The sequence below is a fragment of the Homo sapiens genome, chromosome 4, assembly GCF_000001405.40.
Source record: "Homo sapiens chromosome 4, GRCh38.p14 Primary Assembly".
Classification (NCBI taxonomy): Eukaryota; Metazoa; Chordata; class Mammalia; order Primates; family Hominidae; genus Homo; species Homo sapiens.
In genome coordinates, this window is record NC_000004.12 from 171272094 (window position 1) to 171298846 (window position 26753).

The 26753-nt window shown below is 33.9% G+C and overlaps 2 long non-coding RNA genes across 2 annotated transcripts; one reads left to right on the forward strand and one right to left on the reverse strand.

Annotated features, from left to right (window-relative positions):
- The first annotated feature begins 4318 nt into the window (after positions 1–4318).
- LOC105377534 (uncharacterized) lies at positions 4319–16262 on the forward strand. The gene is made up of 3 exons (XR_939443.2): positions 4319–4369; positions 13827–13929; positions 16011–16262. It is a non-coding gene; the product is annotated as an uncharacterized LOC105377534 (long non-coding RNA).
- A 1137-nt stretch (positions 16263–17399) lies between these two features.
- On the reverse strand, positions 17400–26206 carry LINC02504 (long intergenic non-protein coding RNA 2504). The gene is made up of 2 exons (NR_183809.1): positions 25981–26206; positions 17400–22136 (listed from the first exon to the last, which is right to left on the reverse strand). It is a non-coding gene; the product is annotated as a long intergenic non-protein coding RNA 2504 (long non-coding RNA).
- Between the last annotated feature and the right edge of the window lie 547 nt (positions 26207–26753).

Here is a 26753-nt window from a genome sequence, read left to right on the forward strand (position 1 = left end):
AACAGGCTTAACAAAAGAGGTCAGCAAAAGGATTTGAGTACCTGTGGATTCGTTAGCAAGATACTACCTTAACCCACATTGAGACTATAACTGAAATCTCCCAAAAGAGAAATTGTATCTATAAAATGGTTGAATTATACTCTGAAGGCTCCTGGGCTTAGAAAATTATTCTTGATAAGAAGAAGTTGAAACTAAACAAATAAACTTAACAAGAAGACAAGAGAAAGGTAGGCAGATCTTACAGTAGAAGTATGGGAGATCTGCATGAAATAGATTCATAAATTGAGAAAAAGGAACGACATGGACTATGAAAAAGTAAAAATGCCTGGGAGATGGAGAATGTATAGGTTAAGACTGAAATGGTAAAAGAAGATATGGTTCAGAGAAGGGGAGCCAGGTAGGATTATATCAGAGTCCAAAGCTAATTTAGATGATGGAGTAACTATGAGAAGATACGTTCGGAAGGATCTATTCCATCATCAAAAGCAGATATCGACTTGTAAAAATATGACAATAGGTGAATTACTCCCCAAACCACACTGCCTTTTTCTCATATTTAAATCTATTAATTTTATTTCCTTTGGTCCCTGTATTACTGACCCCATAATGCTGAGCCAGATGTGACCTCAGCCTTGAAGACCCTCTACTTTATTATGAACAATGATCCTTTCTTGATAACTACTTGAAAGAAATAATTCCTTGAAAGTGATAATTTCTTGAAAGATTACAATATTTTTATAAATCTAAGTTACAATATATAACTGAGTCTCCACTGCTGCTGTGTCCTGCATAAGGGTTTCTTAAACCTTCGCTAAAGAGTGAAAACCCAACCATTTGTCTCTCTCTTTATTCTCTTTTTTCCATTGGCAGAGATTGGTAGAACGCCTCCAGCTTGGACATGATCTTGCACGTTTTCTCGTCTGTTCTTTTGTTCTTACTCTTATGTCTATCCAAGCAGTCTAAACGATTCTGAACTCAGATTTCAGCATAGGGGGAAGAGATGGTGAAAACAAAAAGGTCCCATGCACACGATTTTGTCAAGTTTAAGCATGTATTGCAAACGATGCCCTTCTTGGCCCAATCCCGTGTCTCAGAGCAGTCTGCAATGAGAATTTAGGCAGAATCCACACTTACCAATAAAATAACTTTTTCTATATTAACTTGGCAACTCTGTTGTGCTTGTATTTTCCCAAGGGTTTTCATAAAAGGGATGTCTGTGGCCTGAGGTAGGATTTGATGTTCTTTGCTCTTCTCACTATAGGAATATGGCTAATTTACTATAATCGCTTATTTATTTTTCTACATTTAACATCCTGATTTATTTCTTCTCGAAGAACCTTCAAAAATTACTGATATTTGATTAATTGTCTTAATCTAAATTTTCTTTGGAACCATAGGATTAAATTAATCCTAGTCAAGAAATTTGAGCCCTATTTGTAGGTACTCATTTTACTCGTCACTTTTAGATTTTCTTTCCCTAATATAAATGTTTATTTTGCTCAGTTCAGATGTAAATTTTAAAAATTCCATGTATTTATCATAAAGTCCACTCTTAAAATGGCAAAGTAAATATAAAATAAGTATATTTGATGGTTAAATAAATCAGATTTCAAAAAAATGATAAATTTGAATGTAACAGCTCCAGTGAATTTAACGAAAAATAACTAATGTCTTTAGCAGAGCATTGAATTAAATTGTATTTAAATAAACAATTACTACTGTATGACAATCGAATGACTTTCAGTCACAAATAGCTTTTCAATTGAAAAATAAAACTAGATAGCAAACATAAAAACATCTAAACATTGCCAATAAACAAATATGTGAAAAGTTAAAGTTACCAACACGATGTGTGTAATCTTGGCAAGTTTTAGTATGGTTATTGCTATGTCAAAAACAAAATCTATAAATTGGATATTAAAAACTTAAGCTGCAAAGGTGTACATTAAACTAGCAATGATTGTCCTATCTGGTGATAGAAATCTTGGTGATGTTTTTTCTTCTCCTTCTCTTTCTTTTTCTCTTCCTCCTTCTCCTTCTACTCCATTTTCTCCTTTATTCCTCTTCTATTTTTAAACTGATGATAGTGTGAATTGTGTTAGTAATTAAAAAATATACATTTTAACATCAAGAAAAACAACAAAAAATAATTATCACATTACCTTTGTACCACAGAAAAAAATTGGGGATATTACCATTGTTTTGGGTTGCTTTTTCTAGGTTTGGTAAAATTCTTAAAACTTGCGTGCCTAGGCTTTCTTCCTCTTTAAGGTGTGAAGTGTTTTAATTGATCAAAGAATATAAATAAAGAAAAAATATCTCAGTGCATGGCTTTTAAAAATAAAATTAAAGTAATGATAGCACAATCTATGCATTTATTTTTTTTTTCTCAAATTTACTAATTGCATGTCAGGTGGTATACTAGGTTCCTGGAATTCAAAAAGGTATAGCTACATCCCTGCTGAAAGATCAGAACCAACCAGCCTCTTGGACGTCTTACTACTCAACAATGAACCGTTAGTTTCATCAGCAGTGTATTTGTCTTTATTAGTAAAAAGAGGCTTCTTTTTCTCTGCTATATTTATTTTTAGAAAATGTACCGTTTTTAACATTTTATTTTTTATACTATAGATATTATATGTTGTTTAATTATGCTATTGAAAACTCTTCATGTCATTAAGCATAAAGTTGAGTTTAAACCATGTATCAGGATACAATTTTGAACATCAGCATACATCTTCTTCCCATCGTTTTTCTTCCTTTCCCTCTCCATCATTCAAGCAGATAATCATTGCCTAAATCAAGAAGAATGTACACCAGTCCCTCTTGGTTTTGGGTTCCAAAAGCACACACAATTAGGAGGATTCTAGAAAAGATGTATGGTTAAGTAAAGGAAGTTTCAAGGCCATGAAAATGTCTTGGCCAAATAGAGTAAAGAACATAGCTTTATCTCTGAAGTGTGAGATTCCACAAAAATGGGAAATGAATGAGGAGACAGGATTGGGCTGAGAGTAATGCTGGCAGGAGTTTAATACTGAAATTAATTTTATCATTTTAAATAGTCAGCCTCCAGTTCCCCTACCTTGTTTCCTTTCAGTAATTGATATCTCTAACTCTCAGTACACATACTGTGCATAGGAGGACACCAACCCAGCTCTAGAACTGGACACAGGATCAAAATCAGACTATTGTGCATTTGTAGTGCCGCTGATTGACTCAGAAATGGTTATTGGTTCAGAAATGGTTATGATCTCAGCCAGGTGAATAACAAACTACCAAGAACGTTTGTTAAAACAATTGTCAAAGAGAATTTCTCTCTCCACCAGGATAACTTTGGTAAACATAAAGAGAAAAGAATCTGCCCACAGATTCAGCCAAATGAGAGGAGAGCATATCTGAGATGGTGAAGGAAAGTGAATCAATCCTGTATTGTTTTCTGATTCAGTCACGCCTATGGGAGAGAAACTGGTTTTATGCACTGGTAGCAGTGAGAAAACAGAAACCCAGGGAGAAGATAACTCTGTTCTGTCTGTATTCTGGCAGAGTCAGAAAGCAAAATAGGTAAGTAAACACACAGAGAACCATAGAGCCAAAAATGTAATGCCAACTATTAAAATGAGCGTCTCAACAGACTCCTTCAAATCTAAAATACCTGTGCAATAAATTCACAACTCTGGGAAAGTATAATGACAACGATGGATGTGGGCTGGAAATGAAAAATAAATTGTAGAAAAAATAGTTTACCATCCTTGTACATGTGAGTTGACTAAGATTCATATACAATACATATTGTATATGTGTAGCCTATTAGGTTGAATGAAATTCTGAAATACTTGGGAGGCATTTAGCATTTCACATAAATAGTTTTGATAAAGTTCTTTCTTGAGGCAAGAGATAGATTAAACGTTCTTTTGAGATTTTTTTCAGATTAATGGTTCAATAGTATTGCTTTTATGTTCAGTATAAAAGTTAGTGTTTATACTTCAAAATCAGTGGCCTTTATGATTTCTAATATTCTGTGACAGTATTGTTATTTATATAGGAAAAAACTTGAGTCTCCTTAAGCACAGCATAATAAAAGTTATGTAGTATAAAAGAATTAAATTTTCTTTTTCATCTTTGGTCACTATTGTTTTAGATAGCATGGCGTACTTGTTCATAGATCATCCAAAGCAAAATTGTGTAGCAAGTGAAATCAGTAAGCTTTTGGTGACTCTCTTTGTTTAAATAACAACTAGGCATCTATAATCACCGTGGTGACTTTTGGCTCTCTTCATTCTGACAAGGGCATGTGATATATTACATCACAATTAAGAGTCTGAAAAGACACAAAAAGAAGGATCACAGTCCATTCCTCCAGTTGTTAGCTGTAAGACTGGGAAAATTATTAACTCTGAAATTCTATTTCTTCATAAGTAAATTTACATAAGGGTTATTTCATTAAATAGAGTAAAAATATGTAAAGTAGACACACATTTTAGACCCCCTTTAATTTCATATACTTCTTAATCAAACTTTGCTGAACCTAAACTAATTCATTGTATTCAATATTTGATTAGGATAAAATCTCAGACTGAATCTTTTTTAAATAAAACAACCTAATATATTTGGCCACCAAAATATTTCAAAATAATAACATAATGTTAAATGCTTTTTAATTGCATTTAATCCTCATAACATTTCTCATGGGTTAGTATATTTCTGTTTTCCACATGGGAAAACTGGAGCACAGTAAATTTAAGTAGCTTTGCTTAAGGTCACACATTTAGGAAGTACCCAAAATAGGATCTAAACACAGGCTAAGTAAGTCCAAAACATTAATTCTCAACTATGCTTTGCTATAGTCGTAGTTCTACTTATAATTGATATGACATTGAGATGAACCATGTATTTTCTCCCTGCTTCAAAATTCTTGCGTGTAGTATAAGGAACTGGGACAAAGTAATCTCTAAAGCACCTTCTGGTTGAAGAATTTCATTCTATGAGACAATAACTAAGCATGTGAGTGATTCATTAATTATTTATTCTCGCTTGCTCTCATTCTCCCTCTCTTTCTCAGCCAAGCCATAATTCCTATGTAAAAGGCATATAATCTACAATGATTCACTAATTCAAGTCTGTCTGTCTGTCTGTTTCAAGGGTCATTATACTCTTCATTATTTAGAAGAAAAGTTGACTTTCCTTAAGTCTTTTGCTAAACCTGTCCTCTCTATAATAGGTTCTCAGCCAATTACATCTTTGCCTACAACACTCTCTTTTCTACACTTGCTCTTTCAGTTCTTTCACTGCTGACAACCACATGAATCTGGGCATTAACATCCCACCTTCCCTGCAAGGTGCTGCTGGTCATAATGACATCAGTGAAGGGTGATGTACGAAGTGATGGGAAGTGAAGAGCGTGCAAGTTAAAGGGAAGTGCCATCTCTTCACTTCCCACCATATGAGCATCTGGTCTGTGCAAGAAAATTTACTGACTGTTACAGATATTAAGATGATTTGTACCACAGGGAGTGCTGTGAACTAACTTGGGTCAATTGTGAACAGACAAATTATTCACAAGTTTGTTTGAATAGAATTCAGTAGATTCATAATTAAAGTTAGGTGAGTCCTATAGCTTCCTCCCTCCCCGATCTCCCTCACAATCTCAAAATCAAATGAAATTTTATAAAAGCAAATTATGCCACCATAAATAACATTTTTATCAAATAATCTGCAAGTGTTCGTATTGTTTTCTATAAAGGCCCATTGAAACTTTAACTCCCTGGTTTTTGTTTGTTTGTTTGTTTTGGTGCTAACAATGACCTTACATGAAATGAGCTCTTGAAATAATGGTTATAATAGTTTACTGACTAATTCAGCTAACTTCTTATGATATTTGACAGCACAATCTTCCAAGGGTACCCCGTGGGCTGTGAATTGAAATTCAAATGGTATAGGTTGCAAGGTTCCCCAAATTCTAATACTCTTGCACATTCAAGCATCAAAGTATTAGTATGTTTCTAAGCAATCAATACATCTGGGAGCATTACTTATTCCTCAGTAAAAAGTAATTTCTCATTTTTTTAAATTAACAGTTCCTTTGTGCATGTGAGGGTAATGTAGCTTTAGATATTTAGGGCCTTCTAAATAACCTAACCACCCCTGGAGTATGAACTGCTGATTAGAATACAGCATATGTTAGCAAATAACAAACACTTGGCAGAGGCTTTGAAGTTTTATGTTTTGTCTATAGCTTGGGTCTCATCTAGTTGTCACAGGATTCCCTCACTAGCCTATTCTCTAATTAAGAGGAGTCACAGATAACTGTATCATCTCTCTTTACAGAGCACATTTCAAGATGAGAAGTAGGGACAGTTGTTCTTTTTCCTTAACTTTCATTTAATTTGTTTATGACATAATAAAGTAGATAAATACATGTAGATAAACTGTGAAAGACCTTTACATGAAGTCTATAATTAATACAACAGGGCTTTAGTGATGATAATGGAGCCAAACCATGGAAGACTGAGGCTGACAAGTCACAGATGTTGGGGAATCTAAGAGCTGTGAATTAAGAAAAATGTTGAAACAATCAGATAAAATTTAGATGTTGAAAATTACATTTATAAACAAGAATAACTTATTCAATATAGTTCTTTATGTGCTCTATGTAATTTATAAAAATACAATTTTGAAAGATTAAAATCATTTCTTAAATTATACTAAGTATTCTTCTAAGCCCACCAGCCAAAGCACACTGGAGACACAGCCTGAGTTAAATAAATTATTTTTATTTAGCCTCTTCAACAGTTTATTAACTAATTTATTCAATAGTTAAATCAATTATTTTATTTAGCATTTCAGAAAAGGTCTTAGAAATATCTCACAAAATGGAGTGAGGAGACACTTTTATTGGATTTAGTTTTGTAGTGAATGATTCTAAGGAAGGTAAAGTGAAGACCAACTGTGGATTGGATGCTGTCAAGCAAGCAGAGCATTTAGCAATTGGATAGTTCAGCAACATTTATTTAGGAGATGAGATCAATGAAGTTAGACCAAAATGTCATTGGTTCAAAAAAAAAAAGGAGCAATAACTCAAAAGGAGGGGTTGTTATTCATTTTACAGCCATGGAGGGTTCATTGGAGAAGCATTGTTTATATAGCCTTGTTGAAGTCTCATGGTTAACATTGCTTTACGTCCTGGTAGGAATAGCACAGCCTGTTTATCAACAGGGGTGGCTTTCACTTTTGAATATTTATGCTTCTCTCTAAATGACTCAGGATGGCCAACCATTTACTCATTCTAAAATTGTTTGCTAGAAACTTATTATATGTTAGGATCTGACTAAGATATAAATCCTGCCCTTCAAAGGATGTTTACTCTACCAGGGAGGAGAAAGGTATTGATGGCAATTATTGTAGTATATTGGCAGTGGGAGCATTCAACGAGAGCATTATTGCTGCAAACTGACCCAGGCCAATTTAGTGGTTCAGCAAGCCACAGTTGCCTTTGGTAAGATTGTTAGGCTAATAATGGATAGATATCTTTAAGAACCGCATATCCAAGTGGAATGCCTGAATAAAAGTAAGTCTAAGGCCAAATTTCTTCCAGCATACAAACATTACTAGGAATCTGGAAAAACAGTCATATACTTATTCTACATCTCTGAGAATTTCCATTTGCTGACCAAGGCACCATAATTTAAGCATTTTGTACAAGGATGACTTGGAAGTAGGTGAGAAAATACATAAACAGAAGACCAGCCAGAGTTGTAACTCTGTGAAGTGGCAGATCCTTTGTGAAAAGGAGGGAGGCAGAGCCAGTAGGACTCTGTACCTTGAAAAGTGCTCCAATAGCATTGGTTGGGCCAGATTCTACACATTTCCCATGCAGAGCTTGAGATACATGTATGATATTTTCTACCTGTTAAAACTCTGAACTTTCATTTCACCATAAAAATATTCTAACATCATTTCTACTAATGAATAAACTTAGGTGACAAATTTATTAATCGAGTTTAAACAATAGATTGCATTAATTACATTGATTCTGACTCCATTGATTCATGACTGGAGTAAGCATAACACTATAAAAGCATTGGTTTTTGATTTGGTTACCTTAAATACTAACTAACCATGCCTAGGTTCTAGATTACAGGAAACATACATATACATATACATACACACACACACATTTATGTAAAGCACACACATATACACATATACTCACATGTACATGCACATATATACACATATACAAATGCACATATACACACACACATATATACACATTATTTCTCTCTTACATGTGAGAAAATTGAGGCATAGTAAATTTAAGTAACTTTGCTGAAGGCCACACATTTTGGAAGTAGCCAAAATAGAATCTAAACACAGGACTGAATAAGTCCAAAACAATAATTCTCAACTAAGTCCTTTGCGCTAGCTGTGTATATATGTGTGTATAAATAGATATATGTCTGTACATGTGTGTATATGTATATATGTGTTTTTATATATACAAATGTACACATATTTGTATATATGTATATATATATTTATGTGTATGTGTGTGCATATACGTATAAAATATATGTGTATACTATGTATGCACATGTAACACATAAATATGTATACAGAGAAAAATATATATATACATGTATATACATAAGCTCTATAATTTAGATGTCTCTTCACAACTTACATAATCTTATCTAAGACTGTGTTAGATAGTCTTTTCTTAGATATCTTTGATACTTTTCCAAGTTTTCAAATAGATATTGACCCTAGTTTCAAAATCCCAGAAAAAGCCTCACCACAGGTAGGCTCCTTCTTCCAGTCTCTGAAATCTCTTATTCTATTTTCCATTGAATTTTCTCTTTCCTTCATTTGACCTTTCCTTTAACAAAGCTTAAGAGAGGACCAATGACCTTCAAAATCATCAAAACAGTACTCCAGGTAGTTGGTACCAATCAATGATTGTTAGGAATCAAGATGAAAATCATTTTTGATTATTGGTAGAGCTGATATGATCAAATGAGTATGTAATATTTCTAAAATGTTTGTAAAGTAATTCTTGGATATATTAAACTTTAATCCATTTGTGTAGCCTAAAATACGGTTTCAGTGTGCCAGTGTATTAAAGAGCTTTACAAAACACACACCCTGGGCTTCCTTTGTAAAAAGTAAGCCAAACGTGTTCCTCAATGAGGAGCGAGTTCTAAGAAATCTAAAACTTATCCCGCATAACCTTTTAAGTAAAAACCTTTAAAGAATATTTTCCCCAAGTTCTTTTGGCTTTTTGTGAGTTTCTACTACCTTTTATGCTTGACACATTTTCACTATGTGTTTGCCAAGTTGTGCTTTAACATGTTATAGATTCTTCCATTCAGCTTCCAGTATGGGCTACGTTTAAAAACAGCTGTGCTTCATCATCCTTTCTTTTGTCCAGAGAATACTAAGTGGTAACCTGCTGTCATGCGGCTGCCAGAGCAAATTAGATGCTGTGATTCCTGTGTAGTGCCCCAATTACAAGTAAGGAGGGCACTTACCGTGCAGTACTTGTCTTGATGTAAGGGAGTCATAGATTTCAACTGAAAAATAGTTGTCCCTAAGAAGGACACTCGTATCTGCCTACACATATTAGATAACATTTTGAAATTAGAAAACAGAGGGGTTTTTTTTAATAAGTGCCTAGCCTTTTGTAAATATCAGTGCATATAAGTGATCAAAATACCAATTACAGGAAAGAACTTTGTATAATATTTTGAATTAATTTAACTATGACCTTGATAGAATATTTTACACTTGAATCTTTGCACAGTATTAGGCCACCTTTTTTTATCAAATGGAATGACCTGGTTAATTCTACTTAAAATACTTTAAAATATATATTTACTTGCATGACACATATTACAATGTTTATATACATAGATATGTCATAAAATCATATATAATATATACTAATATGCATGCATCATTTTAGATTTTGGGCAGATACTTTTGTCTTGTTTCCTGTTCTCATGAGAACATCTAAATAATATGTTTCTACTCTTGCAGAAATCATCAATCAATTCAAATCCACTGTTTCCTTTTGACTGTTGGCTGTTTTGTTTTTCAATGTTTTGTTTTTGTTGTTTTGTTTCATCTTTGCATGGCAGTAAATAAATAGCTAATGGTATACAATATGCACCAGGAACTATCATAAGGACCTTTATGTGCATTTTTAAAATTTTATTTTCCAGATAACTCTAAGATTGTGCTTATTTTTCTTTTACAGACAAAATTGGGGATGGGAAGGTTAGATAACTGGTACTGGTACAGGATGGAGTAAAATAAATCAGAATTCTAGAGCCATGATACATAGTCCTGTCTGTCTGCTTTCTGATGACATCTCCTTGTACAGCACCTAAAGAAATGGGGGAACAGGGACACTTTCTGATTCACCTTCGACCTGATGGTAGTTGATAGAGAAGGAACACTTGATACCTCCTACACGTCATCTAACTTTATGCCATGATCTATTCCATGCTGCACTCTCTTTCTGTACTTTTGTTCATGTTGTTGCTCTTTCCCTTCCCCCATCCCAGCCTCTTCACTTGATGCCCATTCTTTAATTATTTATTCCAAGGCCTCTTTTCTGATTTAAAAGCCCCTTGATCATTCCAGACTACTTGGATCTCAAACTTTCCAAGCTCCTTTGCTCTTCCTGACTGAAACATTCAGGCAGCAATTAGTAAAATGCCACTTGTCTTTTTAAAAACAAACAATTTCAATTTTTTATTATAGATTAAGGGGTACATGTGCAGGTTTGTTACATGGATATATTGTGTAATACACAAGGTAGGAGGTATAAACGACCCCATTACCCAGGTAGTGAACATAGTACCCAATAGTTATTCAGCTGTCTATTAAAAGGTATAACTTAATTTAAGACTTCACTTTTTATGCTCTGTGGCTATGAAGTAACAAGCATATTTTCTCTAGCTATACTGTAGAATTGGTCTTCTGAGTCCTTATTCAGTATTTCTTATATGTGGATTTTTTGCCTCTCCTTCTAGACTGAATGATTTTTGTGAGTAAAGACTACATCCTCCACATTTTTTAATGCCACAGAGTTTTAGTCCAACAAGAGCATAATAAAAAGTGTCCAAAAGTATTTGATGGATTGAACTGAATGCAGTACTCAGTAACCTTAGGGCCAGTCTGGTGCTCCAGACACTAGATTGCCCTACTTGTTATGCCACTAGGATTGACATTAAACTTTGCAAGCATGTACATGAGCAGTTCAAAATAATTCCCAATATAACTCAATTCTGATGACATTTGGCACTACTGCACTTTCCAGAAATTGATGGAAAATGTCAATTCTTCCCTGTGGTAGTTTTGCCAATTTCAACTAAAGTGAAAAGTAGACGTGTCGCTGGGCAAAAGACTAATTGCTTCCAGAGAAATGAATGGGCCAATGAAGAAGGTGGTTTGCTTCCAAAAAACATGCACCCTCAAAAGGATATAGTATAATACTGATATTAGACTGAGCATATGAACATTGAAATATTTTCATTAATTAATTACCAGGCTGAAGTCACTTACTTTGACCAATATAGAATTGCTGTAACTTTGAGTGTAATGTAAAATTCGTTTTGGTAAATTTAGAGGAAAAAGTAAAAAAATAATTTATTCTGCAAACCAATAACCTTTGGATGTCTATTATGTGACAATCAATCCTTACACTAGGCATGGGGGATTTAAATTTAATAAATAACTAGTACCTAAAATTAAGGAAATGATGATCCCATAGAGATAAATAAATAAGTACAGTTAATTGTGATCATTGGTAAAAAGGGAGAATTTGTGATCTGCACAAAGCTTGAAGCTCTCATATTGATCTTGGAGTTCAGGCAAAGAAGGCTACACGATTGTGAGCTAAGGTTTGAAGAATAAATACAGGTTGAAGAAGATTATTATTTCAGCTTTGATATCATTATCCCTATGCAAATAATATATCCTGTGGAAATATAGGTTATACAAAGTGGAAGTGGGAAGAAAATAGAGTTTGTAAGACTTGGTGTGGTAAGATGTATAGTTTAAATACCTTAGATAAACATTTAAGAAATTTCTTCAGAAAAGTGAGAGATGTTCTTATATTTTAAACAGACCTTCCAACAGGATAACTGAGCAGGAATGGTGGTGGAGTGGAAATGTTGGGCAATACAATCAGGAAGAACAGTGAGAAGACATTTCTATCAGTGAGATACCACTGGCTGCAGATAATGAATATTAGATTAGATTGGTCAAGATTGAATGACCTCAAAGAATTTTACTGTTGCCCTCCCACTTTTAAAACTCCAGAACTTCAACATGTATGCTATATTTAAGAAATTAGATAATTAATATATGGCTAATGGAAAGAGATTAAGCTTGTAGCAGAATGTTCTCTCAGGACATTCCAGTAAGAAATACTTCCTAGGGAAGTTAAATTATGAGCAAATTTGACTTTTTTAAAATTGTGTTTGTAGAAGTGATTATACCCATATCTCCAGTCCTGCTCAAATCTCTAAGGGACTGATGAAGAGGTTCTGCATTCAACAAAGCCTGGAAAAACATTTTCCTGCATTTCCCACTTCTTTCCATTTATCAGTGGAGATGAGTCCTGTCACGAATAACTTAATTCAATTCTCTATGCAGAGAGAATGATAGCAGGACACTGATTTAATTTTTTTAGGCCAAACTGCCTTGCAGGCAGGTCCTCCAGCATTTTCTCTGGATTCAGTGTGAGTTGCAAAATGTTATTTGCAGTCCAGTTCTCCTGGTAGCCTCGCACCAACTCATTTCTCCCAGCTTTCTAATTTGTAGTTTTCAAGAATAACTGTAGGATGTGCTGGGAATGCAACATCCTGAGATAAAAGGAGATTGGAGAGAACAACCTGGGCTCTTTTCCAGTCCTCTCAGAAATAGGATAATCTTGAACACCTTAACCCAGTGTTTCACAGGACCCCAGGGTATAAAACCCATGCTGGGCTGTTTTTGGGGGTCCTTCAACTGCGGTGCAAGGGAAGCATGCACGGATGAGGCTGCATTGATCCCAGGAAGCTTTCCTGAGCCTTGAGGGTTCAGCTTGCAATGAATCACAGGCTTCCATTGCCCCTTGCTGTGTATCTGTAAGCGATAAATCCACTTATTTGTATGAATAAGTTCTGTCTTGCCAGATTCAGACAAGCTGGTAACCAGTGCACAGTGAACCTGTTTTACATCAATGAATTCCCAGTTCCCACTGATCTCAAATGACATAAAGATGATTCTTAAATATAAACAAACTTTAAAAATTGAATGCATGTGAATATCTACTTCAACGTTAACTTTTTGGTGGTTTGAGAAAATTTCAAGAGTAAATTTTACTCGTGGTTTGAGAAAATTTCAAGAGTAAATTTTACTCTATCAGTTTTCTATAACATTTTTCTATGTCTCTGACTCTATGTTCATGTAAAAATTTATATCCTGGTTGATTCAGGAGGGGTTCTTCTAATGACTAGCTTTGCTGTCACTTTTTTATGTGATTTTGATATCTATCCAAGTTTTTTATATTGGTCTATCTATATGCCTTGAGACTTTCTTCACATGAAATTCTTTTGTAATAATGTTATGTGAATGATGGTATTACCTCTGAAAACAAATCAGATATTCTAAGTTAAGTCTAGGCTCAACAGTATATTTGCCTTGAGATTGGGGGTACAAATATTTATACTTTCTTAATCTGAGTTTTCTCATGTATATTAGATTTCTATGCTGCTATTAAAATTTACCAAAAACTTAATGGCTTAAAATGACAACATGCATTTATTATTTTACAGTTCTGGAGATCAGAAGTCCTAAAATGAAGGTATCAGCAAGGCTATCTTCCTTCCAAAGATTCTTAGGGGGAATCAGTTTCCTGGCCTTTTTCAGCTTTTCCAGGTAGCCTACTGTCCTCAGCTTCTAAACCGTTCTCCCATCATTCCAACCTCCGCTTCCATCATCACATCTCCTTCTGTGACTCTGGCCTTCCAAGCTTCCTATCACAGTGACACCTGTGATAACATTAGGCCCAACCAGATCATCTAAGACAAGCTTTCCATCTCAATATCTGTAACTTAAACAATCCATAAAGTCCTTTTTGTTATGCAAGGTAACAGACACAGGTTTCAGGAACTAGGACGTGGGTATCTTTATATGTTTATGTGTGGGTGCGGGGGGTGTCACATTTTTTTGTCCATAACAACATCTTCTAGAATTGGAAAACTGATACCTTTCCTACTTATTTCTATGGCTTGCCATTACGCTCAACGGAAATAATTTATGAGAAAGCTTTATGCAACTCGTGAAGGTGTAATTTACTATAGAAGAACTCGTTCTATTGATCCCACTTCATGTTTTTTCATTTACTACATAAAGTATTTTCCCTTTATATTTGGATCATTATATGAACCAATTCCAATTCTGTGATTCATACAACTTCTTGTAGTACAGTGTGTTTTACCATAAAATTGTGACTTCTTCTATTTCCGGAAAACCGTATTAAGAACATATTAATAAAGGATACATATAAAGTCACAATGTAAAATGCAGTATTGCTGCAGATTATTTTAACACAGAAAATGTTGATGCAGCAACTGAAATTAGGAAAGAAGAAAAGGAAAAGATTGTCATTTTTGCCAGAGTTACTCTAGCCATCAGCCAGCTCCACAATATTATTTTCTTTATTTTTCCAAACTGCATAAGCAAACAATGCAATGAAAATATATGGACACCCTTTAGTATATATTAGCATTGTTACTTCTTTGTGTAGTAGCCTTATAATCAATTTATACTCATATATATATGTATATAAATCAATTATATACAAAAAAGTTTGAAATTACATAGATAACTAATTTCAAGAGAAAAGATGTTTGCCTGTTTGATTCACATGTACACTTATCTAATTGTGTGATAGATAATCAAGACCATCTGGTTACATAGCAATGTATCTCTTTCAAGTTGTTTGTGTTTGAGTTCAAAGAAACACAAAGGGAGTGTAATATTTTCATTGGTTGCCTTCACATTATAAAATTAATTACAATGTCTGCCAGCTACCTGCATATGGATGATCATCTTTTGCTTGTCAGTAATTTAAAGCAAAATTAATGGTCCATAAAATAGGTGACTAGTTTAGCTCATAACTCATACAGAAATTTTTCATTTAGACAACCATTATATTATGAAATAAATAAAGTGAGCCTATTACTCTAAGAATAGCAACTGGCAGTATTTGGTGTCAATTATAAAATGTAAGTTTATAAATGAAAAATTAAATTTTTAAAAATCTTATGCCTACCACCATGGGCTTCAACATTGCCCAGTTCTTACAGAATATTTGTATGCTATAGCTGGTGAAATTGATTAATGTGACCTTTGTAATTGCAAGTTTCAGCATATGTATTTGCAAAACTCAGGGAAACAAAGTTTTCCAAATAGTGGTTATATGATGCTATACAATTATGCATAAATTTTAAAAATCCACTCAAAATGAAAAATAGACCAATAAACTTTTCTATGTATATGCTTCAAAAAATTATCTATGGACATTGACACTTTGATTTCTCATATTTAGGTGTCACAAACATTACTTTTCTTTTTAAAGTTGCAAAGAGTACAGACAATTCCCATATACCCCACACCCAGATCCCTCTATTATTAACATCATAAATTATTTTGGTATGGTTGTTACAAGTAATAAACAAATATTGTACACCACTAGTAAAGTACAAACAACACTTCTACAGTTTTTAATGCCCTTTTCTGTTCAATATTCTCTCTAGAGTACCATATTAAATTTATTTGTCAAGTATTTGTAGACTCCTCTAGATTCTGATGACTTCTCAGACTGGTCTCAACAGGCTTTTAAGAACACCGACTAGCCATTTTATAGACTGCTCTTCAATTTTAGTATGCTGGATTTGTTTCTGAGGATTAGAAAATGATTATGGTTTTTTGGGTTTTTTTAATTTGTTTTTCAGGTGGTGGGTAGAAAGAAGAAAACCACAGAGATAAATTGCCATTTTCATCAAATCATATGAAGGGTATATTTTATCGATATAACTTACCACTGTTGGTGTTAACTATAATCATCTGACTGAGATAGTGTTTATCAGTTTTCTCTGTAGTAAAATTACTCTTCCCTTTCCCTTTCCAAAAGTACTCTTAAGAAAAAAATACTATGTATAGCTCAAATCCTTGGGGTAGTATCTACACAAATTATTCTGAATTGTTCTGCGTGGAAGATTTGTCTATTGTGATCATCTATTTATCTATTTGCTCATTATTTATGTCAGTATGGACTCATGTATGTATTTTAATATTTGATGTTGTAATATAATACTTTATTATTTATTTTGTTGCTCAAATTGTTTCAAGCTTGGACATTGGGAGCTCTTTTAAATTGGTTTCTTTCACCCTTTGATACACCCTCACTATGGTATGCATGTGTGTACATGTGTGCACTTTCTTGTTGGAGCTGCAAGATGATTCCAGCTCATCAACCATATCCCCTGTCAAGCTGTAGAATCAACTATTTCCGCAAGGATTCTTGCTTTCTTTATTAGAGAATCGTATTCAAAATCAAAATATTACATGCGGAGTGACAAGTGGATTTTAATTTTCCAGAGCATAATAATTTATTGGCATGGTTTCAGATTAGACATGAAAAATCCTCTTTAAGAAAGTACTATGTGACATTAGCCAAAATGGTGGGATAAGAAACTCTAAATTTAGGCTCTTCCTGAAAGGAGTGCAAAACAAACAATAACAAAAACTAGCAGAAACTATGAGAACCAATTTTGCAGGAATTTATAAAACACTCATAGCAAAGAAAAGTCCAAGACCATATGGCTTCACTGGTAAATTCTGCCAAACATTTGAAGAATTAACACTAATCATTTTCCAAGTCTTCCAAAAATAGAAGAGAGAAAACATTTCCTAACTAATTCTTATGTGGCCAGCATTACTTTCATACCAAATTCTGAGTAAGATATCAGAAGAAAAAAAAATTACAAACCAAATTTTGCATCGTGAATAATGATAAGAACACTCAGCACTCTAGAAATAGAAGGGAACTTCCTCAAAACATTAAAGGCTGTGTATAAAAACAGAAACAAAAACAAAAACAAAAACCCCACAACCACTATCACATTCACTGGTGAAGTATTGAAACCTTTCCCCTTTAAATAAAGAACAAGAAAATGATGCCCACTTCCATCACTGCTATTTAACATTTTAACGGATAAACTGTCTACAGCAATTAGAAGAGAGAAAAGACTTAAAGGACATTCAAATTCGAAAGGAAGAAGTACAACTATCTTTCCAGATGACATTAAGCAATATATGTAGAAAATAATAAAGAACACACACACAATTGATAATTAATTTATTATTAATAATTTGTTATTTAATAATAGTAAACGAATTAACAGTCCAGGATACAAGATCAATGCACAAAAAATGAGTTGTTTTCCTTTAAATTACCAGCAAATACCCCCAAAAGAAAATGAATAAGCAGGCCGGGTGCGGTGGCTCACGCCTGTAATCCCAGCACTTTGGGGGGCCCAGGTGGATGGATCACCTAAGGTCAGGAGTTCAAGACCAGCCTGCCTAACATGGTGAAACTCTGTCTCTACTAGAAATACAAAAATTAGCCTGGCATGGTGGCACACACCTGTAATCCTAGCTACCTGGGAGTCTGAGGCAGGAGAATCACTTGAACCTGGGATCGGGAGGTTGCAGTGAGCTAAGATCACACTACTGCACTCCAGCCTGGGCGACGGGGCAAGACTCCATCAAAAGAAAAAAAAAAAAAAAAAGAAACAATTTTATTTACAGTAGGTTCCAATAGAATCTTATACTTAGAAATAAGTTGGTCCAAAAAGGTAAAATCTGTGCAATAAATACAAGAAAGCATTGCTTAAGGAAGACCTTAATAAATGGAAATAAATCCAGTGTTCCGGATAGGAAGACATTACTATTTACATATCAATACTTCCTAAGGAATCTGCAGACTGAAAGCAATCTCTATCAAAATATCAATAGCCTTTTATTTTGAAAAAATGGAAAAGCCTATTCTTAAATTCATAATGAATTGCAAGTGGTCCTGAGTAGCAAAAACAATCTTTAAAAAAATAATAAATTTGGAAGACTTATATTTTCTGATTTCAAAATGGGTCAATAACATAAATGTAATATCAAAAGCATTGGCAATGAAATTTTTAAAAACAGATAAATTTGACTTCAAAATAAAAAATGTGTGCATCAAAATACATTGTAAAAAAAAAGTAAATCACAAACACAATGAGAAAAAACATTTGCAAATCACCTATCTGAATATGTGTTATCCAGAATATATAAATAACTCTTGCAACTGAACAACAAAAATACAAATAGCCCAACTGAAAAATGGGCAAAGAACTTGAATAGACATCTCTTCAAAGAAAATAGAGAAATAGACAAAAAACATAGGAGATAATTCTCAATCCCATTGGTCTCACTGGGAAAACATAAATTTAATCCACAATGAGGTACTACTTCACATCTACTAAGATGGATATAATTCTTTTTAAAATGAAATCGGCAATGGTGAAAATATATAGAAATACATAAAATTGTTTAGCCAGTATAGAAAACAATTTGGTGGCTACATAAAAAATTAATTAGAATTAACAATTAACCCAGTAATTCCACTTCTAGATACATACCCAAAAATTAAAAACAGGTACTCAAATACTTGTATACGTATGTTCACAGTTTACAGTGCGATATTCACAATAGCCAAAAGATAGAAATGACACAGCTGTCCATCAGCAGATGAATGGAAAAACAAATTGCAATATATAATCTTAATGGAATTTTATTCAGCCATAAAAAATAAATGAAGTATTAATAGATAATGCAATATGGGTGAACCTCAAAAACATCTTGCTTAGTGAAGGAAGCCAGCCAGTAAGATCACATATTGTATGTGATCTGAGATATGACTTATTTGAAATATCCAGAATAGGTACATCTTTAGAGACAGACAGATTGATGTTTGCCAGCAGCTGGGGCAGAGATTGGAATTCAGGGTAACTGCTTAATCAATGCAGAATTTTCTTTGGGGTGATGAAAATGTTTTGGTACTATATAGAGGTGACAGTTACATAACATTGTATATGTTCTAAATGCTTTTGTGCACATTAAAATTATCAATTTTATGTTATATTAACTTTACCTCAAGAAAATCCCACTTTACCTCCATAAAATAACCAAGTGTAATAATAGGCAAAACTTTTGAAGACAATTTATGGAATATATATATAATGAAATATATATTATGAAATATAAATATATTTTCCATTCATAGATATATATGTGAATGGAAAATGTGTACATGGTAATATGTAATATTATTAGTTATCAGATAAGTGCAAATAAAACCACAATAAGATATAATTATGCACTTGGTAGAATAGCTTTAAAAATTGACAATACTTAGTGTCTACAAGTGGAGCAACTGGAATTCTCATAGATCCTACAAAGAAAAAAAACGGCACCCCACTTTAGAAAACAGTTTGGCAATTTTATAGAAAGTTAAACACTAAGTGGCATCACAATTTTAGTCTAGTATTTACACAAGTGAAATAAAAACTTACATTCTCACAAAACCTACCTGTATTTGAATGGTTCCAGTTGATTTTTAAAATAATTACTCCAAACTAGAATCAACCGAAATGTTTAAATGGTGAGCTAATAAACAAACTACAATGTCTTTAAATGAGGCAATAATACTCAAAAAGGAAAAAAAAAAACTCATACGTGCAAGAATCTCAAATTTATTATGTTAAGTGAAAGTAGACAATCTGAGAGTCTAGTAAGATTATATTTCTATGACATCATGGAAAAGGTAAGAGTATAGAGATAGAAAACATAGCAGTGGCTAACAAAGATTGAGAGTGTGAGGGAGGAGTTGTCTACAACAGACATGCAGGAATTTGGGGGTTAGAACCACTTTAAATTTTCATTATGGTGATGGTTACACTACTATATACATATATCTGTACTCACAGAACTACATTAAAAGTGAATTTTCTTTGTATGTAAATTGTACTTTTAAAAAGCTCATTTAGAAATTTGAAAATCTTTCATTTAATATACATACTTACCAATTGTTCAGAATCTCCCCATCAACACCCCAAATCTGGATTCCATTTCCTTTACTGTTCTACAAATCCTACATCTTGCTTATCAAATTGATTCACTGAGTGGCATCTCTCAAGCATTTCTGTCTATTTCAAGGGTGACTTGAGTTTATTGCAGTCATTGTCAGGACTTCTCACTCATACGAGTGTCAATATTCAGCAACTATTGAACAACTAATAAGAGCCATGTGAAGTGATATAAAGATTTAAAAAAAAGTATAGTCACACATCCCTCCAAATGGTTCAGTCTTCTGTTTGAAGGCATACAAGTAGCCAGGTAATTTCCATGCAGTCAGTGATACCACTGATGTTCAAGTTGTGACCAGGTGCTCCAGGAATGTAAAAAATAAAAAGGTGGGATAAGGCACGCAATCCACATTAGATGTGGTAGAAAGGGTGAGTTCTGAATGATATATTAAGGAACATATACTTTACATCACTAGAATAGATTTGCTATTGTCTATAATCCTAATGCCTATGTTAAATATACTTATATGTGGCTCCTGCAAATTCGAAAAGCAAGGTGCCTGTGTGCTTCCTAATCTGGAGACGTTCTCAGACAGCCGCCTTAGCGAACAAGGTGATTGGTCTTCTTTGTGATTTTGCAGTTAGCTTTTGATAACCTTCCAGTTTATTTCATTAATGTAAACACTTCCGAGACTAGTACATCTTCTTAAATAAATACTTGTCACTCATCGACATATGAAAACTTATATTCACTAACTTGCATCGCTTTTTATTTCTGTCTTGATCACTTAGAGATTCCTTATCATGTACACCACATGCTTCTGTTGGAATGAGTTGGTCTGGTATGGGAAATGAGTTTCTAACAGATGAGGTTTTGAACAATTTTGCTGCCACTTCATTTTCTCAAATTTATTTACATGATATATGTTTTTTGTTTTCTTTAGATAAATATCTTATTTGTTTAACCATCATTTTTGACATTGTGCTGTGTTCTAGACCAGGGTAAAAAGTCAAAGAAAGCATAGTTTCCATGTGTGCCTTTAACTGTGGTATTGAATTTGATCTTTTAGTTCACTGAATAAATAATGAAGTAACCAAAAGAGAGAATACAGAAAGAGAAGTCATTGAATATTAAAGTTATTCTTATATATATAAAGATTATGAATTATCATTTTTGTGAGCTATTTAAATAGAGCTATTCAGAGTAATGCTAGACAGAGATAATTTATAGAGCTGTAAGGGAGAAGAAAACAAGACTTAGGAAAAAACATGATGTTGGTAAAGAAAAAGGAGTAAAATGGAGGCAAAAAAAGGAATAGTAATAGAAATGGAGGCTGAGTAAGGACAGGGCTCATAATAAAGTTCAACCCTACTGAACAAAGGTCAAGTGAACAATGATTTCAAGAATGTGAACTGTTACTACTAATAATAACACAGAAAAAGAAAATGTAACAAGAATTTTAAATGAGCCATGGGCATTGACAACTAGTCCTTGTTGACCTTAGCAGGAAGAATTTCAATAGAGTATTTGCATCAAATTGTTAGAATGAGTGAAATGTCAAAACATTAAGCCTAAGCTACATTTGTCAAAGATGTATATACTCCATGAATATGTAAAATTACATAAAGAACCACACCAAGATGTAATTACTTGATTTATAAGAACATTAATCAACATAAAAAATCATAAAGTTTCCTTTAAACAAGCAGATGTGAAATCATGGTAAAAAGAGAGGTCCAGTGTTTTTTAGTTATTTCATTGAAAACAATGCCATTCCTGCTTTTTAAAGCTCCTCCCTTTTCCCCATGGAGGTACAGAGCCTGAAAACTCAATTTTCCCAACTCACCTACCAGGAGAATTTTCATCAGATTCCACCAATGAATGGCCAAATGTAGACCAGGATGATGGAAAAGACAGAAGCCATTATTCTTCCATGGCAGCTTTGGGAAGTCCTGTGGAAAACAGCAGACATCAGACATTATGATTTATCTGCAGCTTTTGCATGGTGTCCTGAGAATAACTAACATTGGTATTGTTGGCAGCGGATGTCATCAGTGGTGGCTTATAATAGTTCTGAACTTTCTCCCAGAAAATACCCAAGTGGGTGCTAGAGAACTTTGAGTCCATTCCTGCAATTCCAGATTCTCTGTCCTGTATTACTCTAGCTTCCAACTGTTTAAGCTTCAATTTTCCTATTTTAAGCTACTTCCTTCTCAAAACACCTGAAGAAGCTTTTGTTTTCCTGAATAAACACCAAGTGATAAAATATGTATAAAATGATATTGCTATTTTTAGTGAATAAAAATGCTCCAAATTTCAAGAATACATTTATTACTTAGGTAAGGCAAAAGAGTGTTTACTTGTAGTAATCAAATTACTAGAAAATTGTTAGATTTTTTTCTTCCACAATGACTGTGTCCTTCAATGAATTTTCCCCCATAGAAATAAAGAAAATACAGGTGAACTGAAAGCGTTTTCAATTTTGCTTTCATGAGAAACTCCCTTTTTAATTTCCAAATTTGTATTTTCACAGTCTGGATTTTCTTGCAATTGCCCAGATACACTTAACAGCAGCTTGCTCTTTTCATTATAATTAATGTCTTCCATGAGTTGAGACTAGAAAAAAAAAACCTGTAAAATCTTATTGATGAACATATCTAAAAATCGGTTCATTAAAATTCAATGAGTCTTTGTTGACTAATGCCTAATAAAGTAGACATTAATTTAGAAAAACCAAAGAATCTGTAATTTTTTACTTTTTTGAACTCCAAAGATAAGTTATTTAATAGTTATTACATACTTTCCTTTTAAAAGAATATTTAAAATAATGTGGCAATTAATTGATTATATTTGGAATTCAATTACTACTACTAAATGTATGGATACCTAGTGTGAAATAATCGTTAGTGAATTGAAATATGTTACACTTTCACTTTCCTAAAGTCCTTCATCATTGGCCATTATCCTCAACTCTCAAAAAACCATTTCTGGCAGTGAATACTTTATTATATCACTATTTAATTACTTTGGATATGATTTCCTGGAGAATTATTATTGATTTTGTTTTCTGGCATAATTGTTTCTTAATAATATATATTATGATGGCTGGTAGCTGACTTTATAAAATCTTTGGGTATTTACTACAATTGAAACCTATTGGAATATTAAATATTCTAATGGATGAAATTTTATTTTCTTTAGTAACAGATGAGAATGATGATGTAGTCTGTTAGATTCTAAAAGCAGAGGACTATATTGTGTTCCCTTTTGTATATTTAATGAAAAAATAGTGAATTCTAAGAAGTTCCTTATTAAATGTTGTCATACGAATGGATAACTGATTTTCAAACATTTTAGCCAATTACAGAAATGGTAAAAATATTTATCTTCTCTTTTAATTATATTTTCTAGATTAAATAATTTGGCCTATGTTATACAAATTAATAGATTATCTACTGCTACCTCCTGATTTGCTATTACTAATGCTGAGCAATATCCACAGCCTCCTTAAGAATACATATTAGAATTGAAGAAAATCCTAAAAGTCTCCCCAATAAATATGGGTAAAAAGCATTAACCCTCATATTAAATAGGGAAACTTAGCTTGTTCTCTCTTCCAGAAATACAACTGAGAGAAGAAATGTAAAGTGGGAAAAGCAGAGTCTTCTATTTAGAATGTAAGCTGTAAGGTCTCCATGTATGTCTGTGTGTTTATCTATATATGTATGTATGTATTTTATGCATATGTGATATTTATCTAACTGTAGATGGCATTAAAAAACTAACTTATAAAAAACTTTAAAAAGTTCTATTCAAATTGGTTTAGAGATAAATAAGTGCTTATATAAATTAAATATTTCAAACACTCCCAGAAACATAGAAAGTAACCCATATACTTTTTTAGTTCATGTATTTTGAGTAAATCTTTAAAGACTAATTTAATATTGTTGGTTTAATAAAAACAGCCATGTTTTCCAAGATATTGGCATTAGTACAGTATGAGCATACATCGTCGTTCTACTTGGTTTTACAAGCCAAAATTATAAATTCATCCTAAGAAAAAATATACAAGTAAAGGTGCAGTAAAAATGAATTTCTTTTTTTTTTTTTTTTTTATTATACTCTAAGTTTTAGGGTACATGTGCACATTGTGCAGGTTAGTTACATATGTATACATGTGCCATGCTGGTGCGCTGCACCCACCAACGTGTCATCTAGCATTAGGTATATCTCCCAATGCTATCCCTCCCCCCTCCCCCGACCCCACCACAGTCCCCAGAGTGTGATATTCCCCTTCCTGTGTCCATGTGATCTCATTGTTCAATTCCCACCTATGAGTGAGAATATGCGGTGTTTGGTTTTTTGTTCTTGCGATAGTTTACTGAGAATGATGGTTTCCAATTTCATCCATGTAAAAATGAATTTCTTGAAGTCCATTACTTTATGCATGTTAAACATATAGTAAAACAATTGGAAAAACCTATGCATTTAACTTTTTGTAGTTTGTGTGTGTTTTATACTTGTCTCACATGCATGCATGTGCTATAAAAACAGTCAACAGGTAAGAAACTGGAGATGGTGGCTAGCTTTGATTAACATTATACATCTGTCTAAAAAAAGTTCCAGGTAATCTCTGAGTAAGATAAACTATGGAAACCTTAATTACCAAACGTAAGATTCAGTTTATATTCTTTTGACTTCTTATTTTTATACGGTATAAGGGTATTAAAGATATTTAGTTCTGGTAATAAACGTGTACTTTTTGACATATCGAAAAATTATACTGCGAGAAAATTCATACCAATAAAATTGTCATATAGTATAATTGTAAAGTTTGCTAGTTATCTACAGAATTCTGGTAAGCAACAGACAACTTACAAATGTCTACTGCCTAACTTTCTCTGTTAAGGAAAGATTACCAATGGTTAAAATTATAATCAACATATGAAAATAAAACTACTAAATATATAAGGGCAACAACTTAGTATAAAAAGTATGAAAGGAATATAAAGGTAGTTTTGATAAGAAAAAGTATATAAGGTATTAAAAATGTGTTTAGGACAATAATTCGTCCTAAACTAAAACAATCGGTTGTTCCAGAATGAGAAGAAAGAAAAATACAGGACAAAAACTGAATATATATGGAAAGTTAGAGAAGGTTTGTGAAAAAAAATTATTTGGCCAAATTGGCAAAGATTGAACTCATTTATTTACAACATTTAAAAAAAATTATGTTTATTATCAAAAGTAGATTGATGCAAAACAAAAATTTGTCTTTTTTCTGTTAAAATTATAGCTTTATTGGATTACTGTTCCGATTACAGTATTATCTTAATAAAATGAGAGACTGAAAGGTTTTATTTACCATTTAATTAATCTGCATAGGAAACCAAGATTTCTGTTCTATCAGATGAATTTCCTGTGCTTTATGTTAACCTTCATCATGTTCTTAATTAAGAGCATGCAGACTGCAGTTTTCAAAAACTAATTTTTTAACATATTTTTTACAATTTTGTCCTTCCAAAATCAAATCCTAAATAAAAGATTGTTGTTCTTGAACTGACATTGAGATTCCCAAGAGGACGCTGAATAACCTCAAACAATTTATTCTTTTGTTGTGTAAAAGAGAGATGTTACAAATAATTTGGTTTATTTGATATGTTAAATTGCATGAAAAGTGTTGTCAAATAAAAAAGATATTCAGCCTACTCTACATGATATTTGTCTGGGCAAATATTATTAATACAGTTATTTCAGAAATTGTACAAAGTTCATAGAAATTTGTTAATGCTATACCTAGCCATGACACATCATAGTGACAGCGTGCTGGCAGTCCTCACAGCCCTCACTTGCTCTTGGCGCCTCCTCTGCCTGGGCTCCCACTTTGGCGGCACTTGAGGAGCCCTTCAGCCCACCGCTGCACTGTGGGAGCCCCTTTATGGGCTGGCCAAGGCCAGAGCCGGAGCCGGCTCCCTCAGCTTGCAGGGAGGTGTGGAGCGAGAGGCGCGAGCGGGAACCGCGGCTGCGCGCGGCGCTTGCGGGCCAGCTGGAGTTCCGGGTGGGCGTGGGCTTGGCGGGCCCCGCACTCGGAGCAGCAGGCCGGCCCTGCCAGCCCCAGGAAATGAGGGGCTTAGCACCCGGGCCGGCAGCTGCGGAGGGTGTACTGGGTCCGCCAGCAGTGCTGGCCCACCGGCGCTGCGGTCGATTTCTCGCCAGGCCTCAGCTGCCTTCTCGCGGGGCAGGGCTCCGGACCTGCAGCCCGCCATGCCTGAGCCTCCCCGCTCCGCCTCTGCGGGCTCCTGTGCGGCCCCAGCCTCCGCGACGAGCGCCGCCCCCTGCTCCACGGCGGCGCCCAGTCCCATGGACCACCCAAGGGCTGAGGAGTGCAGGCGCATGGCTCGGGACTGGCAGGCAACTCCACCTGCAACCCCGGTGCGGGATCCACTGGGTGAAGCCAGCTGGGCTCCTGAGTCTGGTGGGGACGTGGAGAACCTTTATGTCTAGCTAAAGGATTGTAAATACACCAATCGGCACTCTGTATCTAGCTCAAGGTTTGTAAACACACCAAT